The 17175-nt window shown below is 42.5% G+C and overlaps 1 protein-coding gene across 9 annotated transcripts in view; it reads right to left on the reverse strand.

Moving 5' to 3' along the window:
- Positions 1 to 17175, reverse strand: part of FRMD3 (FERM domain containing 3) — a 342803-nt gene that overhangs the window by 97376 nt on the left and 228252 nt on the right. For all 9 annotated transcript variants that reach the window (NM_001244959.2, XM_024447487.2, XM_047423155.1 and 6 more), the window contains 2 exons: positions 9312 to 9390; positions 2823 to 2920 (listed from right to left, as the gene is read on the reverse strand). In NM_001244959.2, coding sequence (NP_001231888.1) covers positions 2823 to 2920; positions 9312 to 9390 — 177 coding nt within the window. The remainder of the gene's footprint in view (positions 1 to 2822; positions 2921 to 9311; positions 9391 to 17175) is intronic.

Here is a 17175-nt window from a genome sequence, read left to right on the forward strand (position 1 = left end):
AGCCCAAAAACAACTCAAGATCTAAGTGTTTGCAAGAAAACACAACAGGGCTCTGAGAAAGAATGACGTGCAGGAGGGAGCTGCTTTAGCTCGAGTGGTCCAGGTAGACTTACCAGAGGAAGTGACTTCGGGACTGAGTTCTGAATATCCAGCAGGAGTCAAGATTTCTACAGGGGTTGAACATACCAGGCAGAGGAGATAAGTTGAATTCCTCTGTGGTGTTGTTTTGTAAAAGGAACAGGAAAGATATTTTTACCAAGAAAGAATATAAATAGATCCCAAGGATTCTGTGTTTGTTTTGCAATTTGTATTATGAAAGAAAATGCATTGCATGTCTTAAATATGCTCGTTGGATTCAGTATGTACAGGCAGCAAAACTCCAGGTGATTGACTGGTTTTGTATTCCTTGTGGAGACAAGGTCTTGTCTATGTTGCCCAGGCTAGTATCAAACTCCTGGCCTCAAGAAATCCTCCTGCCTCAGCCTCCCAAGTAGCTGGAATTACAGGTGTGCACCACCACATCCAACTTGATTGACTGTTTTTTATAAACTCAGAATATACTGAAGCTTAAAACATACTCCTTGAAAGAGCATTAGCAAACAAGACGATGAGGGGCGACAGTGCCTCCTGATTGCTAATCACTTACTCCATCTTCCCTATTACTCTGTAAGAATAAGATTGCTAATCACTTACTCCATCTTCCCTATTACTCTGTAAGAATAAGCAGTTCTGAAATGCCCATCTATATCTGTATTTGTGAATGACCTGCAGTGCTGCCGAAGTACTCACCCGAGAATCAGACCTTTATGAACCACTTTTACTGAATTTGCTATAAATGACCACAGACAGCACTGCATTTGAGAGCCAAAAGGTCTTTTTGAGGTCTGCCAGTCCATTTCCCACTCTACTTTCTCCACAGTGTCTGTGTGAGTGTGGTCAGTAATAATAGCAATGAGGGATAAAATAGGGCCCTGATCGTCTGGATGGAGGCTCCGTGGCTTTATTTCAAACAGAAAACAGGATGGCGAGCTTTCCATTATAGATCCATATTGAGCATGTCCTTGGAGAATTGATGGTAATTCACTAATGCCTAAATGCATTCTGAAATCCTCATATGCTGGTCTGTTGCTTGGATTAGTATCGATTCCCTTGTCTCTTACCTAAGACAGTGCACCCTAACTCAAGATGTGCAGCCTTCACCATGGAGGAAGGGAACTATGGGATTTACAGTCCTTTCACTCCAAGGTAAGAGAGGCAGCTTTCAGAAACACATTCTCTACTTCAGTGTCGGTGAAGGGGCTGTTTCCCATTACAGTATCAACCATAGTGCTTTAAATGGGAAAATACCCAAGGGTTTTAACACCTCTGCCAAAATCTGCTGTCCAGGATGAAGCTGTTCCCAGGGAAGGGGGTGAAGAACAACACACACACCCATTTCGGAATTCTCAGAGAGACCAAACACAACTGAGAACAGGATCAAAGGAACTATTTCACAGCACAGAGCATCCCACAGGGAGGGCGGTGGGCCACAGGGGAATCCCCAGGAGAATGACAGGTTTCTCAATCAGTGACAAGCTCAGTGTTGTGGTAGGCAGATGATCATAACCGATGACCAGCTAATGGCCCATCAGAAGCTCCTGTGTTATTCCAGATCCATTGGAAGATTGACATAGTCATCTCTCTCTCTCTCTCTCTCTCTCTCTCTCTTTCCCCCAGCCTGCCTTCTCTCTCATAAACATGTCATTAATGTTCATGCTACCAACAGCTGGATCATCTGAGTCCCTCCAGCTGCCTCTCAACTGGCCCAGGGGAACAGAACACCTGAGCCATTTTCACTTGGGTGTTGGGCCCATCCGTGGCCATATGGTGCCTCAGGCCCTGGAGGCCTCCTTCCCTCAAACCACTTTCCTTACTAGGTGGAAACATTCAGAACCCAACCGACATCAACACATTAGCTATTTCCCCTAGGGTTTGTTCAACTGGAAAAAGAACAGTAGTCACTTCTAATGGGCCTGCGCTACCCCTGGCCTGGTGCAGAGTGGTCTCTGAAATCACATGGCAAGGAAGGGAGGATGACTATCCCATTTAATAGATGAAGAAACTGAACCCTGAAGAGCTTAGGTAACTTGGTAACTTATCCATGGTGAACCATCCAGGAAATGGGAAGAAAGATTCAAATGGTGGTGTGACAGTTTATGAGACTTGTGCTCTCCTCACCATGCCCACAGCTAGAAGAGCTGAGGAATTAGACATGATAGACATGTACGTATGTATACACATACACACACGAATAGATAGGATGGATGGATGGATGGATGGATAGATTAGATAGATAGATAGATAGATAGATAGATAGATAGATAGATAGTTAGATAGACACAAAAATGCTTCCAGGGATGACCCCTTTGTTTAACACCTATCTTCCTAGATGCAGATTCCCCTCTCAATATGTCCATTAGGCCTCTCACCTAGCATTTGGAACTGAGAACATACAATACCCACATCCCTTCAGAGCTTCTTATAAACCCACCCATTCCACATTCCAGCCCCTTTGAAAGAGAGCTTTTGACTCTGACTCATGGGATCTTGAGCAACTCTGTTTTTGCAGAGGCTCCTGTGAACATCTCAGCCCAGCCTTTCACCGGGACCCCACTGGCTTGGAAGGGAAGGTGAGTTGGGGTTCTGTTGCTACGTACCCAGCCCTACATGGTCTCCAGCCACAGACACAGGCAGGATGGCCACGGGTGGGAGAGAAGGGAGGCTTGAAACAGCCAGAGCTCCACAGTGCAAAGGTGGCGTGGGTGAGCTGTGGCCAGACTTACCTTGAACAATACAGGCACCCAGGTAGGCAGCATCAGAAAAGGAGCACAGCAGGCGGCCATGAAAAATGTCCCTTTTAATCTGAAGGTATAAAAGGTATCTGCAATACAAAAGGAGAAATGGTCACTCTAACTTTTGGCTGAAGTCTGGAAGAAGTAGGATTGTTCATGCTTAGCTCCCATGGTGACCAGAGCTTTTCCCAGCTCTAGAGACTGGCTTAGACATGCCCAGCCCTTTGTAGAACAAGCAGAGGAAAGCTGAGAGGGGCCCTCTGAATTCAGAAAATCAGAAGTGTCTGCCGAGCAGATCTTATCAGCCTCCAAAGCTGAGCAGGCTCGGCCTTTTCAAAGAGGCACGAGAAGAAATGAGGAAAGCCACAGGACCCAGTGGCCAGAGCTCCTGGCAGCAGCTCCCGCACGAGGACAGCCATGGCCACCGTCATCACTAGCTGCATCTCAGGCACATGCTGCCCAAGCTCTGTTTCAAACGGAGAGCCAGGAAACGGACTCAATCCATACATAAGGCCAGCCTCATCATTTCTTAGGGGCAGAGAGACACATTAATCAACCTCAGACAGACGCAGTCATTATGAGGCCAGAAAGGCAACTAACTGATTCACAACTAGAGCTGTCATCTGTGTAGAGTCTCCCCACTCCAGGGATGGCACACTCAGATGCCTATTGAGGCCAGGCACACAGTGGCCTGTGACACGGGCAAGTCACCTGTGCTGGTGCAAGAAGTGCTGGAAGCAGGATGGGACACAGCAGCTCCCTAGAAAGGGGGCAGCCACTGCACAGCTCCAGCCTAGTGCTGCCACTAGAAAAGCACTTTGTCCAGTTTTTCCAGAAAAATAGCAAGGTGGGAGGCAGGCAGCAGAGCAGTGTGCCAGGTTGCAACCCCTGGCTCAGGCTCATTTTGTCCCTGTCCTTTCTGTTACTCCACACTGATCAAGCTCTCTTCCAATTTCCTCATCTTCTCAAGGTTCTTTCATTCCAGGCTCAGGCCTGGGATCTGTTGTTTCTGAGCAGAGTAACTTTACAGATGTGTGCAGATTCTTTCCGTGCTTCCTTTAGAGTTTAACTCTCAAAAACCAATGTTTTTTCTCCTTCTCAACTTCTTGGGGGTTTGTGGGGAGCATCTCTCAATCAGTCCCAGTTATCACCTTGTGAGGTTAATTTTTTATGTGTCAACTGGATTGAGCCATGGGATACCCAGATATCTGGTTCAACATTTTTTCTGGACGAGGGTGATTCTGGAAGAGATTAGCATTTGACTTGGTGGACTGAGTAAAGCAGATGACCCTCCCCAGTGTGAGTGGACCTCATGCAATCCATTGAGAGACTGAATAGCACACAAAGGCAGAGGAAGCTGAATTCACTCTGCCTGACTGCTTAAGCTGGGACATCAATCTTCTATCCTCAGTGTTCCTGGTTCTCAGACCTTCAGACTTGGATTGGAATCTACACCATTGACTCTCTGGTTCTCAGGCCTTTGAACTACACCACTGGCTTTCCTGGGTCTCCAGGTTACAGACAGCAGATCATGGAATACCTCAGCCCTCATAATCACATGGGCCAATTCCTTATAATAAATCTCATTATGTATGAAAGGGTGTGTGTGCATGCGTGCATGTGTGAGTGTGTGTGTGTGTGTGTGTGTGTGTGTGTGTGTAGCCTATTGGTTCTATTTCTCTGGAGAACCTCAACTAATAAACGTCTCTAGCGCCCAAGTAATTTAATCTTTACTCAGCCACAGGAAGAGCGACATGTGTAATCCCCATTTTAAAGGCAAAGAAATAGAGAATCAGAGAGAGTGATTAGTGTGCTAAGGTCACAGGGACGCTGTCAACCCCAGAGCACTGGAGCTCACTGTTTCTGAGCCATTGGTTCACTGAAAGCACACTGGATCCATTGAAGGAATCAGTGGCTCACTGATGTTTTCCTTCACTGTATCTTTGTCTAACATCTGCTTTATGCTGTGCACTGTGCTGTGTGGGCACTGGGGGCATGGTGGAGGCTCAAATGACAATCTTTGTCCCCAGTTTAGTATTAAATTGTGTGCAGAGGATAAAGGCAGTCCCTAATAAGTTTCTAATTTGGAGTTGCTATGCATTCTGTCAAAGGAACAATATTATACTCATTGGGTAAGGACTCAGACTAGCTGCCTAATCTAGTGCCTCTCACACTTTAACGTGCACATGAATTACTTGAAGAGTTTGTTAAAATTGATTCTGATTCAAAGGGTCTTGGATGGGCTTGAGATTCTGTATTTCTAATAAGCTCCAGGGGGGCCGGGCATGGTGGCTCAAGCCTGTAATCCCAGCAATTTGGGAGGCCGAGTTGGGTGGATCACGAGGTCAACAGATGGAGACCATCCTGGCTAACATGGTGAAACCTCGTCTCTACTAAAAATACAAAAAATTAGTCGGGCGTGGTGGTGGGTGCCTATAATCCCAGCTACTCGGGAGGCTGAGGCAGGAGAATCACTTGAACCTGGGAGGCAGAAGTTACAGTGAGCCGAGATCGCACCACTGCACTCCAGCCTGGGTGACAGAGCAAGACTCCATCTCAAAAAATAAATAAAAATAAAGAAATTAATTAATTAATTAAGTTCCAGGGGATGCTGTGGTGCAGCTCCATCAGCCACACTTTGAGTAATAAGGTTCTAAACCAGTGGGCTTCTGGATCCTACCCCAGACCCAATGAAATCAGAATCTAGGCCCTCACCAAAACTTGTATGTGAATGTTCATAATAACACTATTCATTATAGCTAGAAAGTGAAAACAGGGCAGGGCACAGAGGCTCACGTCTGTACTCCCAGCATTTGGGAGGCCGAGGCAGGCGGATAGCCTGAGGTCAGGAGTTCCAGAACAGCCTGGCCAACATGGCAAAACCCAGTCTCTACTAAAAATACAAAAATTAGCTAGGCGTGCTGGCTTGTGCCTGTAATCCTAGCTACTTGGGAGGTTGAGGCAGGAAAATTGCTTGAACCCAGGAGGCAGAAGCTGCAATGAGCAGAGATCACACCACTGCACTCCAGCCTGAGCGACAGAGCAAGACGCCATCTCAAAAAAAAAAAAAAAAAAAAAAAAGTGCAAACAAGCCAAATGTCCCCCAGCTGACGAATACATAAAAGAAATGTGGCATTTCCATACACTGGAATATCATCCAACCATAACAAAAATGAAAAGCTGAAGATGCTACAACAGGGATGAACTTTGAAAGCATTATGCTAAGTGAAAAGACGCCAGACCCAAAAGGCTACACATTGCATGCTTTGATTTATATGAAACAACCAGAATGGACAAATCTATAGAGACAGAAAACAGATAAGTGGTTGCCAGGAACTTGGGAGAAAAGAGAATACTGGATGACCACTTGGGTGCAAAATTTCCTACTGGGGTGATGAAAATGTTTTGGAATCAGATCATGGTGTTAGTGGCACAAATCTGTGCACATACTAAACTGTACACTTCAATATCTGTCAAAATAAACTATTTTGAAAATCCAAATTGTCTTAGAGTGGTGGTTCTCAAAATTTGGCATGCTTCAGAATTACCTGGAGGGCTTATGAAAATAGATTGCTGGACCCAACTGCCGGAGGTTTCTGATTCAGTAGGTCTTGGACAGACACCAAGAATCTGCATTTATAACAAGTTCCCAGGGGATGCTGACATTGCTGGCCCAGGGACCTCACTTTGAGGACAGGCCCAAGACTATTCAGAATAGCAAGGTCACACAAATGCTTTAAATGATTAAATCTTAGCCCTTTTTAAGGACTGTAAACTACCAGGCCAAATACCATGAAGTTTCTTTTCTGTGTATTCAATGTATGCATCAAACATAAAAGCATTTCTTTCTACTTTTTGATGAGTTTGGCCATGAAAAATAGTTTCAAATAACTATTTATTGATAAATGAGAGGCTTGAGTTGTAATCCCATAACTCAGAAATCAATTTGGCAAGAGCTTCCTGAGAAAAGAAAAGCAGCTTTCACGTCAGACTTTGGGGCTGTGCCCATATCAGTGATCTCAGGAGATAATCAAGAATTACTGTGGATTCAACATAATCCACTGAGTCTTGTAAATGGTTTCACATTAAGGATGCTCATTTTTTTTATATAATAGCTACCAAAAAATAATGCATCTCCCTTTAGTGTCATTCCTGCATAAAAAGATTAAGCAACAAAAACCCATGAGGGTCTGAGTCATAAATTATTGTGCTGCCATTAATAAAATTGCATCTCTACATGGATTGGAAGATGCTACTTCTAAAAAAAATTAAAATCAACATTCTTTTTGTAACATTCAATTGTATAGAGCATTTACAAAAGCCCCAGAAATCTAAAGGATTGTAAGATGATTGCTTATATGGAGAGATAAAGGATAAAAAATGATTTCAAATATCACTTTTGTGGTTATTTTTATTATTTTGTGATTTTAAATTTGCCTTTTTCTTAACATTTCTTTACTCTTAAGCATGGTCATGAATATGATCGTAACTTCTCACATATTAAATTCTTCTCAAACTTTAGATTAATCTTATAATAAAATAACAATTTATCATACAAGAAAAACTAAATGCCTTCAAGATAAGAATTCAAACCATAAGTACCTGGGGCATTCCACAGTTTCTCAATTCGTTTAGAATTCTAAGGACTGTGTTTACTAAGAAAAGTCCATTTCTACTTGTATAAGGGCAGTGGAACATCTTAATTACCTTTGGAAACTCAAAGGGTCACGATATTCCACTATTCATACCTGAGCTATTTAGTCAAACGTAGGAAAATGTTAGCAAATACAACTGAGAGGGGCGAGAAACTAGGGTTATTAACTGAAATGCTGTACTCTTTTACTTTCAAATAGGACTTTTTTCAACAACAAAATGTCCATCCTTAATTTATATTGTGACACATACTCAATTTTTATCCTCCAGACAAAATTATAAAGAGAACAAATGACAAAAGTGAGGCATTAGGATTTGATTTGATCTTCCTAATTACACTGTTAGCACCCTGAGGGCAGGAAAAATAGCTCGCTCGCTCTCTCCTCTCTCTCTCTCTTCTCTCTCTCTCTCTTTTTGGCAGCTAATTCAGTCACTGCCCCCTGGGTAGTAACAGCAAGTGAGAACAAATTTATCAAATAAATAATTAAAATTTTCAATCCAAAATCAGACCAAGGCTACATACTATACCATTCCATTTACATGAAATGTCCAGAATGGGTAAATCCATAGAAACCAAAAGTAGATTAGTGGTTGCCAGGGGCTTGGATGGGGACTAGGGTGGAGAATAGGGAGTGACTTCTATGGGGTACATGGTTTCTTTTGAGGGTGATGAAAACTTCTAGAATTAGATGGTGGGGAGGGTTGTCCAACACTGTGAATGTACTGAATGCCACTGCATTATACACTTTAAAATGGTGAGATACATTTATGTCATGTGAATTTTACCTCAATGAAAAGAAAAAACCAGGCCAGATTGCAAAATCCCAACCACTGCTTATAACGTCCATTATCTATTACCCTCATTTCCACACACACACACCCTCTCTCCCCATCTCCCACGCCCAGCACAAACCTTACTAAATGACTGTGAGGAAATTAATAATAGAGAGCAGAACCACCTGCTCCCTCCCAAAGTCACCTCCATGCCACTAATGGTCAAGCTTACCAGAGACCCTGGATAATAACAAGGAAGCAAAATATCCAAGAACCCAAAACCTCCCCCTGCCAATGATCAGAGCAGATTACACTTGCTTTTCTGTTGCATCTATCTGTACCTAAGCAGCTTATTTTGAGAGATGATTATAGCAAGTGATTTTTGTGGTCACCAAGCCAGAGCCTCATCTAGAGTTAAGCGCACAGCAGCGCTCTCTCTCCCATCCTCCTAGAATCCTGCTCACAACATGTGCCCAGGTTATTCAAGGAAGCCAAACCCCCAGAAGGTACGCTGAAGCTGTAGCCCCAACAGAGGGAGGTGAGAAGGGAGGAGGTCCAAGGACTCAAAAATTCGGAGAGTTGGGCTGAGAAGAGTCTGAGTGGAGGGAAGCCTGCCTCCCAGTCGGTCATTCAGCAAGCGGAAGGCAGGATGACAGACAATGCATTCTGCCAGGCGATCTTTTCCCTCCCAGAAAAGCTGAGATCCAAAAGATAGACTAGGGACTGTACTGGGTATGAATTTGCCCATGTCTCGAAGACAGACGCCTCCTATTTATTTTTAGCACCCCACTGTCAGATGTTTTCAGAGAACACCTCCCCCATCATAGCCAGTGCTTTTTTCTGCAGTTAATTACACTCTCAATGACAATTGTTTTTTTAAAAAATCCCAAAACAATTCAGTGTAAGAGAAGCATTCCAAGCAAAAACGCTGAATTCCAAGCTTGCAACACTGAGACGGTCAGCTCTAGACAGGAGGCCCATCTAGCCTGCAAGACCAAAGAGATTCTGGCTGGTTAAAGGTGCACGTTAAACATACAAACAAACAAAAAATACCTTGTGAGCTCTTCTTTAATCTTCAAGGGTTCATGTGGGTAGAATTTCACTCTAAAGCACATGGTGTATGGTGGATGAGCTGAAACATCATAAAGAAAAGGCATGAGAAAAGCAGCAAAAGACCATGGCCTCAAACACACACGGGAAAGGCAGCCGTGCAGCCTGACAGACTAGCCTGGGGAGTGGGGGCCAGGAGGGGGTGATTGTTTTGGAAGAAGCAGATATGATGCCCAAGAAAACAAAGCGACAGCAACAACAAAACTCAAAGAAAATGCTTGACAGGACTCCCAGAGCAAATGTAGAATACCAGCAACCCAGTCAGTGAGCTCATTTTTCCACATCACAGCTCGCCTTCATTCCTTCATTCTCTCCAGCACACAGCTCCAGAGAACACTTCTCTTCTGATTCTTCCCACCCCTTGTGACAAACAAATTGCACATAAGCACCATTCAAGTTGCTGGGCTCACAAAAGATTTTTTTAGCCTGTGAGGTGGAAAAAAAAATGTCACTGCACATGACTAGTTTTCCCAAAATGATGGTGTCTCTGAATTAAAATTAAGGTTTAAAAGATGGAGTCAGCCATGCAGAGATCCTACTTTGCAGATTTTTAGTATTATCTATCTATAAAGGCAGTCACCTGTATGAAAATAAACACTGTTGGCCGGCTGGTCGTGGTGTCTCACGCCTGTAATCCCAGCACTTTGGGAGGCCAAGGCAGGCAGATCACCTGAGGTCAGACCAGCCTGACCAACATGGAGAAACCCCATCTCTACTAAAAATACAAAAAAAAAAAAATTAGCTGGGTGTGGTGGCACATGCCTGTAATCCCAGCTACTCAGGAGGCTGAGGCAGGAGAATTGCTTGAACCCAGGAGGCGGAGGTTGCAGTGAGCTGACATTGCACCATTGCACTCCAGCCTGGGCAATAAGAGTGAAACTCCATCTCAAAAAAAAAAAAAAAGAAAGAAAGAAAAAGAAAAAGAAAGAAGAAAAAGAAAAAAAAGAAAAGAAAACAATTTTATAACTTTCTGGTTTCCCTGAAGGGAAAATCCTATGTAGGCTGCAATTCTGGTTGAGGTTCATGATTCTGGAGTGTTCTAATTTGCCTCAAATATCCAGAACTCACCCAACCAATGGGGATTCTACAGGACTTCCAAGATCTTCCATTATAAGATCACTACCGACTTGTAATATTACACTGATAAATGCATACCAGTGTAGTGAGATGCATTCAGATTTCAGTTAACATATAAAATGAACATCTTAAATCAAGGAAATAAAATAGTTAGCATTACTATTTCCATGGATTGGACATACCACTCATTTGCTTCTGTATCAGTAAAGCTACTTGGGATCAGTTCTCAGTCTACATCCAAATGTGAATATGAAACAACATCCTATTTTACCCAAATTCATCTTTCAAGATACGCAGGGGTTAAACTGCCATCCAATTCTACACTGTCTGGACTACTCCAGATGTAGACGAATCCTTTACATAAGAAGAGCCACAGGGTTCTTGAATATGAATGTATAATAAGAATAATTTAATATGAAAAACAATTATTAAAAAGGATTTGATAGCATCTAAATTACAAAAAAAAAGAGCAGCATCTTGCTGATGATCTCAGCAGAGAAAAACTGATCATACACACACACACACACACACACACACACACTAGAACTCTTTTCATTCAACGCCCTACTTCCCTACCAACAACTAGCAAAATTCTTAACTGAGATGAGTGCTCCTAACCTGATCCTATGTTCCCAAGATTTAAGAAAAGAACCTTTTTTTTTTCCTGAAGCACTAGGAGAAAATAGATACCTTCTACATAGCAAAGAAAAAGCTTAGAAAAATACATCATTCATCTTTAATGATATCTAGAAATTCAGTTCTAATACAAAATAATTTATCTTTAAACATTTCCCAGCTTTCTTTTAAGTTTGTTTAAAGTACCATCTTTAATAGAGATAGATAGAGATAGGTAGATAGATGATTGATAGTTACATGATAGATAGATAGATAGATAGATAGATAGATAGATAGATAGATAGACATGCCATCCTGCTTCATTATTCACTTTGTCTCTAATCCTGCCCCATCTGTCTCAGGTTCGTTCCTATCCAACTTCATTACACCCCAAATTCTCCAACCCATATTAACAACTTTCATCTACATTCTTCCCCTCCTTTTGCCATCCTCACACAAATATATGCCAACATGATTGTATTATATATGTGGAGAGATTTTTAATTTATTCTAACAAAATAAGATCATACTGTACATGTTTCTCTCACTTTCCTCACTTAACGCTATATCCTGCCCATCCCTCCAGGACAGTAGATAGAGATCTCACTTAATGTCTATAGTAACTACAGAATAGTTCATATTATGAATACACCAGAGTGTACTCAATTATTCCCTTTTAATTGTCATTTAGGTTGTTTTCACACTTTTGCAATTCAAACTATTCTACATCAAACCATATCCATCCTTGTGCACAGATCGCTATATGCTTGTATTTTTATTTCTATAATGTAGACTCTCAAAAGTTGAATTGTTGGATCAATAGGTATGGGAAAATGTTTTAAAGAGAGCAGAAAAATAAAGTCCCCTGACTATCAGCAATTTATAAAAAGGAAGATCACAGAAAATGGCCCCAAACGAGAGCTGTCCTTTCTCTCCTTCCTGAAGCATTAACTTCTTAGTGTCGTAAGTTGGCTTCAATAAGCATCGGAGCTCCTCAGATACAAATAGTGACTCACACTTGTTCCAAAGGATCAGGCAATGAGGCCCAGAACTGCTCCCCAGTGCTCTCCTTGACTATGTCTGAGTGTAGGAAGCCTTCCCACCCAGTTCTCCTCACTTCAAGCTCTGAGGCTCCAGGAAGGTCTAGTGCTTCTCCCACGTACATGAAGAGTCCTTCCATCATCTGAAGATGACACTTGTGGGCCTTCTGAGTCTTCCCTAAAATAAACATCCTGGTCCTCTTCATTTGAAGCAGTTCTGAGTGGCCTTCACCAGCCGGCCCCTCCACCCTAAGTAGATTCTTGTCTGCTCTATGCTTCCTCAAGCCAGGGGCCCTAGGATTGCCAGCTTCATTCTGGACATAATCGTCGTCTCCTGTCAATGGTCTCCTCTCAGTGTTGATTTACCCTGAGTTTACAATAGGCCCACAGTCTTAATTCTTTTCATATCTGCTGTTGCTGAGTCACACAGAACAAGCCACTATGTTCCTGACATCTCCCTCCATTTGCTGGGATATGATCACAGAAGAAATCAATACAAGGTGCTCAAGATATGCTCACTATTGAACCCCTTGGCAGAGAAGGGATGAGAGCTGGCGGCAGGAAAAACAAGAGGAGGCACTTTTCAAGTTTAACATTTTCTATTTTTTTTCTACCATCATATATGCCCTACTGTGTTTTTCTCTCATATCTAGCCAACATCATTGACCCCATGTCACCAATAAAAGAAGAGTGTCCCTGTAAGTTGGAAGAACCACTCAGTTCTGTCACAGTGATCCAGGAGTAGTGCCAGAGACCTGAACTGATGAGAAGGTCAATGTCTTCATCCAGGCCTGACGAGGCCACTGCAGTGGGGTGGGGGAGGGGGGGCACTTTTTCTTTAAGAAACTTACTTAAGGTTCTATTAATAGATGCAAAAATTATATTATTATTTTATAAAGTAGTACTGCTAAAGAATGTTCCTTCACAGGGCTGGAACAAGCTGAAAAGATAAATAATTTCCCCCAAAATGCTGATCTAGTTATGGATGACAAGATGCATGAGGGTATAGAATAATATGTCTTGTTCAGCTTTTTATCCCCAGAGCTGATTATTGATAAAAGGTTGATTTTCTGAGTGTGTGGATAAATGAATTTGTGAATGATAAACCCCAGGCTCTGAGGCAGATGTCTAGAGGAACACTGAGGCCCTGCCATCACATTCATCCCTTGGTCCCTCTGACAGAATCAAAATACAGATCTAGAAAAGTTTGTCATCTGGATCACTACAGCAATTCCTGAGATTTACATTTTGAAAGCCTCTTTTCTCAGCTTCTGTTCTTCCCACTCAATATCTGGAATAAAATTCAGGGACTCTGGAGTTGGTTACGATAGCTACTTCTAGAGGCAGGATTGATTAGTTCAATCAGCAATGATCTATTGTTATAGGTAACAGACACAGTTTTAGATGTTGTACATTCATTGCACAAATGTTAGCAGCTGTGAACAGACAAAAATTTTGTCTTTTTTTTTTCTTGAGACAGAGTTTGGCTCTTGTTGCCCAGTCTGAGAGTGAAATGGCGTGATCTCAGCTCACTGCAACCTCCGCCTCTTGGGTTTAAGCAATTCTCCTGGCTCAGCCTCCCAAGTAGCTGAGAATACAGGTACCCACCACAATGCCTGGCTAATTTTTTGTATTTTTAGTAGAGACAGGGTTTCACCACGTTGGCCAGGCTGGTCTCGAACTCCTGACCTCAGGTGATCCACCTGCCTTGGCCTCCCAAAGTGCTGGGATTGCAGGTGTGAGCCACTGTGCCTGGCCAAAAATTCTGTCTTATGGAATCAACCTAAGTGCCCATCAATGGTGGACTGAATAAAGAAAATGTGGTACATATACACCATGGAATACTATGCAGCCATAAAAAGAACAAAATCACATCCTTTGCAGCAACATGAATGTAGCTGGAAGCCATTATCCTAGGCAAATTAACACAGGAGCAGAAAAACAAACACTGCATGTTCTCACTTAGAAGTGGGAGCGAAACATTGGGTACTCATGGACATAAAGATGGAAACAACAGACGCTGGGGACTACTAGAAGAAGAAAGTAAAGGGGGCAAGTGTTGAACAACAAACTATTGGGTACTATGCTTAGTACCTGGGTAACAGGATCATTCATACCCCAAACCTCAGCATCATGAAAAATATCCAGCTAATAAACCTGTGCATGTAAACCCTGAATCTAAAATAAAAGTTAAAAAGAAATTCTGTCTTCATGGAGGACACATTCAGTAGGGGTAAACAGGTATAAAAATCAAAATAAATATGTGAAATACCAGGACAGTAGAAGGTCATATGTGCTATGGGAAAGAATAAAGCCAAGAAGATGTAACAGATGAGAGAAGACTGCCACCTCTGCTCCCTTTTCCCATCCCCACTCCAATCAAACCCATGAAGTACGTGCAATTCTTTTTACTACCTTGAAAAAAAATAAAACACTCAAAAATCAAATCATTTAAAATTGTAAGTCATTGAACAAGGAGGTTGGGGGTCATCTTTAACCCCAAGTGTGGTGGCAATGGTTTGGGGTCAGAAGTCCAGCATTTGAGCACTGTGGTGCACCCACACCAGCTGTATGACTGCTGGAAAAGGAGCCTTCTCAGATGCAACATGGAAGCCCCCACTTACTCCCTGGGACATGTCCAAGGTCCTGAATCCCCTTGTGCAGCGATGACTAACCCCTTCTCCAAGCTGCTAAGTGTCTACGCAATCCAGCTTCCATGTGTTCTTATTCTTAAATTACAGGGAAAGGGGAATGACGTAAAGAAAGATCCTTCTCTGTGCCAAACATTTGGTGCAGAATCAGTACAGGAAATGTCTGATGAAGGAGCTATCTGCGCAAACCCACAGCCTGTATTGGAGCCCTCTCCCAACAGTATTATCATGAACAGCCACTGTGCATCTTTACTAGACTGGGCAGCATGGTCACCCCATGGGAGAAGACATCCTGGCCCTGTCTAATGTGGTGCTCAGGCTTCAGCACCCTTGACAGGGGTACACAGGGTGGTGAAAACCCCAAATCCCCCAGAGGATGAGCCCCTGAGTTTTGAAGAGGATGTCCCAACAGTGATCTTGAGAAAGCCACCTAATTTCTCTTTCCTGCTCTGCAGAGGTCACAGTGCCAGTGCCAGCCATCATGTCTACCTTCCAGATGTGTTTGGGTGGATCCAAATGGCTCCTGGAACGTGTACACAGGGCATTATCTAAATGTGAGATTGTGTTCTGTTGAGATAAACACTCCTACCAGAAGAAGAGAAGGAAAATGGGAGGTGGAAATAGGAGGGAGGGAATGGGGAAGACTGAATTGAATTCAACTCAACAGCTGAAAAGCATTAACTCAGCCATGTAAGTGCTAAAAACAGAGCATACCACCAGAGTAGCAGAGAAGGGGGAAAAAGTGAAATCCACTTTGAAATGCCAAGAGCTTGTAATTGCACTGAGAACAGCAGGGCTCCTCTCTCACAGCCAACTGATAGCTGCCAGACAAGGGCTGGGGAGCCAAGTGTCTCCTCGGGGCAGCTCAGTGGCCCCTTTTGTGTCAGCAAATCCCAGGGTAGCATCATTTTGCTGATTTGATAACACTGAGAACATGGAGAGAGGTACAGCTGTTTATAAAACAGAGACAGAATTTCTCATCTCCACATTGAGCCATTGCCCAGAAATGGAGTTGATAGGAAACGATTAAATTGAGCAAGATCCTGGGTGAAAGGGAAAAAGGGACTTTCTTTCTATTTCTGACCAACAACCTCAGTCAAATCTTTTAAAGATCAGATAGGATTTTTTGAGAGAGAAGCATCACTCAGCAGCATTTTTTTTTTTTTTTTTTTTTTTTGACAGAGTCTTGCTCTGTCGCCCAGGCTGGAGTGCAGTGGCGCGATCTCGGCTCACTGCAAGCTCCGCCTCCCGGGTTCACGCCATTCTCCTGCTTCGGCCTCCCAAGTAGCTGGGACTACAGGCACCCGCCACCACTTCCGGCTAATTTTTTTGTATTTTTAGTAGAGACGGGGTTTCACCGTGTTAGCCAGGATGGTCTCGATCTCCTGACTTCGTGATCCGCCCACCTCGGCCTCCCAAAGTGCTGGGATTACAGGGGTGAGCCACCGCGCCCGGCCAGCAGCTTTTTTTTTTTCTTAAAACCAAACGTTTTCCTCCAGTCATCATAAAGAATCATGGGGAAATCAGAAGCGTAATTTCAGGACTATACATACAAACTCACAATGTTTCTCATATACATTCTGATTTACAGCTAGGAAAAATCTCCCCAATTTCCTTTTTAACAATTTTTTTTATTTCGATAGGTTTTTGGGAAAACAGGTGGTGTTGGTTACATGAATAAGTTCTTTAGTGGTGATTTCTGGGATTTGGGTGCACCCATCACCCAAGTGGTATATACTGTACCCAATGTGTAGTCTGTTATCCCTCACCACCCCCAACCCTTTGTCCCGAGTCCCCAAAGTCCGTCATATCATTTTTATGCCTTGTAGCTTAGCTCATAGCTTAGCTCCCACATACGAGTGATAACATGCGATGTTTGGTTTTCCATTCCTGAAATACTCAATTAGAGTCTTCAATTCCTGCAAATGCCATTAATTCATTCCTTTTTATGGCTGAGTAGTATTCCATGGTGTATATATATATCTATCCATCATGGTAATATATATATTACATTATATATATTATGTATATATATAACATACATGGAATATATATATTACATTATATATATTATGTATATATATAACATACATGGAATATATATATTTTATATATATATAATACATACATATATATATATATATATATATATATATATATATATATATATATATATATAAAACATTTTCTTTATCCACTCATTGACTGATGGGCATTTGGGCTGGTTCCATATTTTTGCAATTGCAAATTGTGCTGCTATAAACATGCGTGTGCAAGTATCTCTTTCGTATAATGACTTCTTTTTCTCTGGGTACTGGATACCCAGTAGTGAAATTGCTGGATCAAATGGTAGATCTACTTTTAGTACTTTAAGGAATCTCCACACTGTTTTCCATAGTGGTTGTACTAGTTTACAACCCCACC

The sequence above is a fragment of the Homo sapiens genome, chromosome 9 (assembly GCF_000001405.40).
Source record: "Homo sapiens chromosome 9, GRCh38.p14 Primary Assembly".
NCBI lineage: Eukaryota > Metazoa > Chordata > Mammalia > Primates > Hominidae > Homo > Homo sapiens.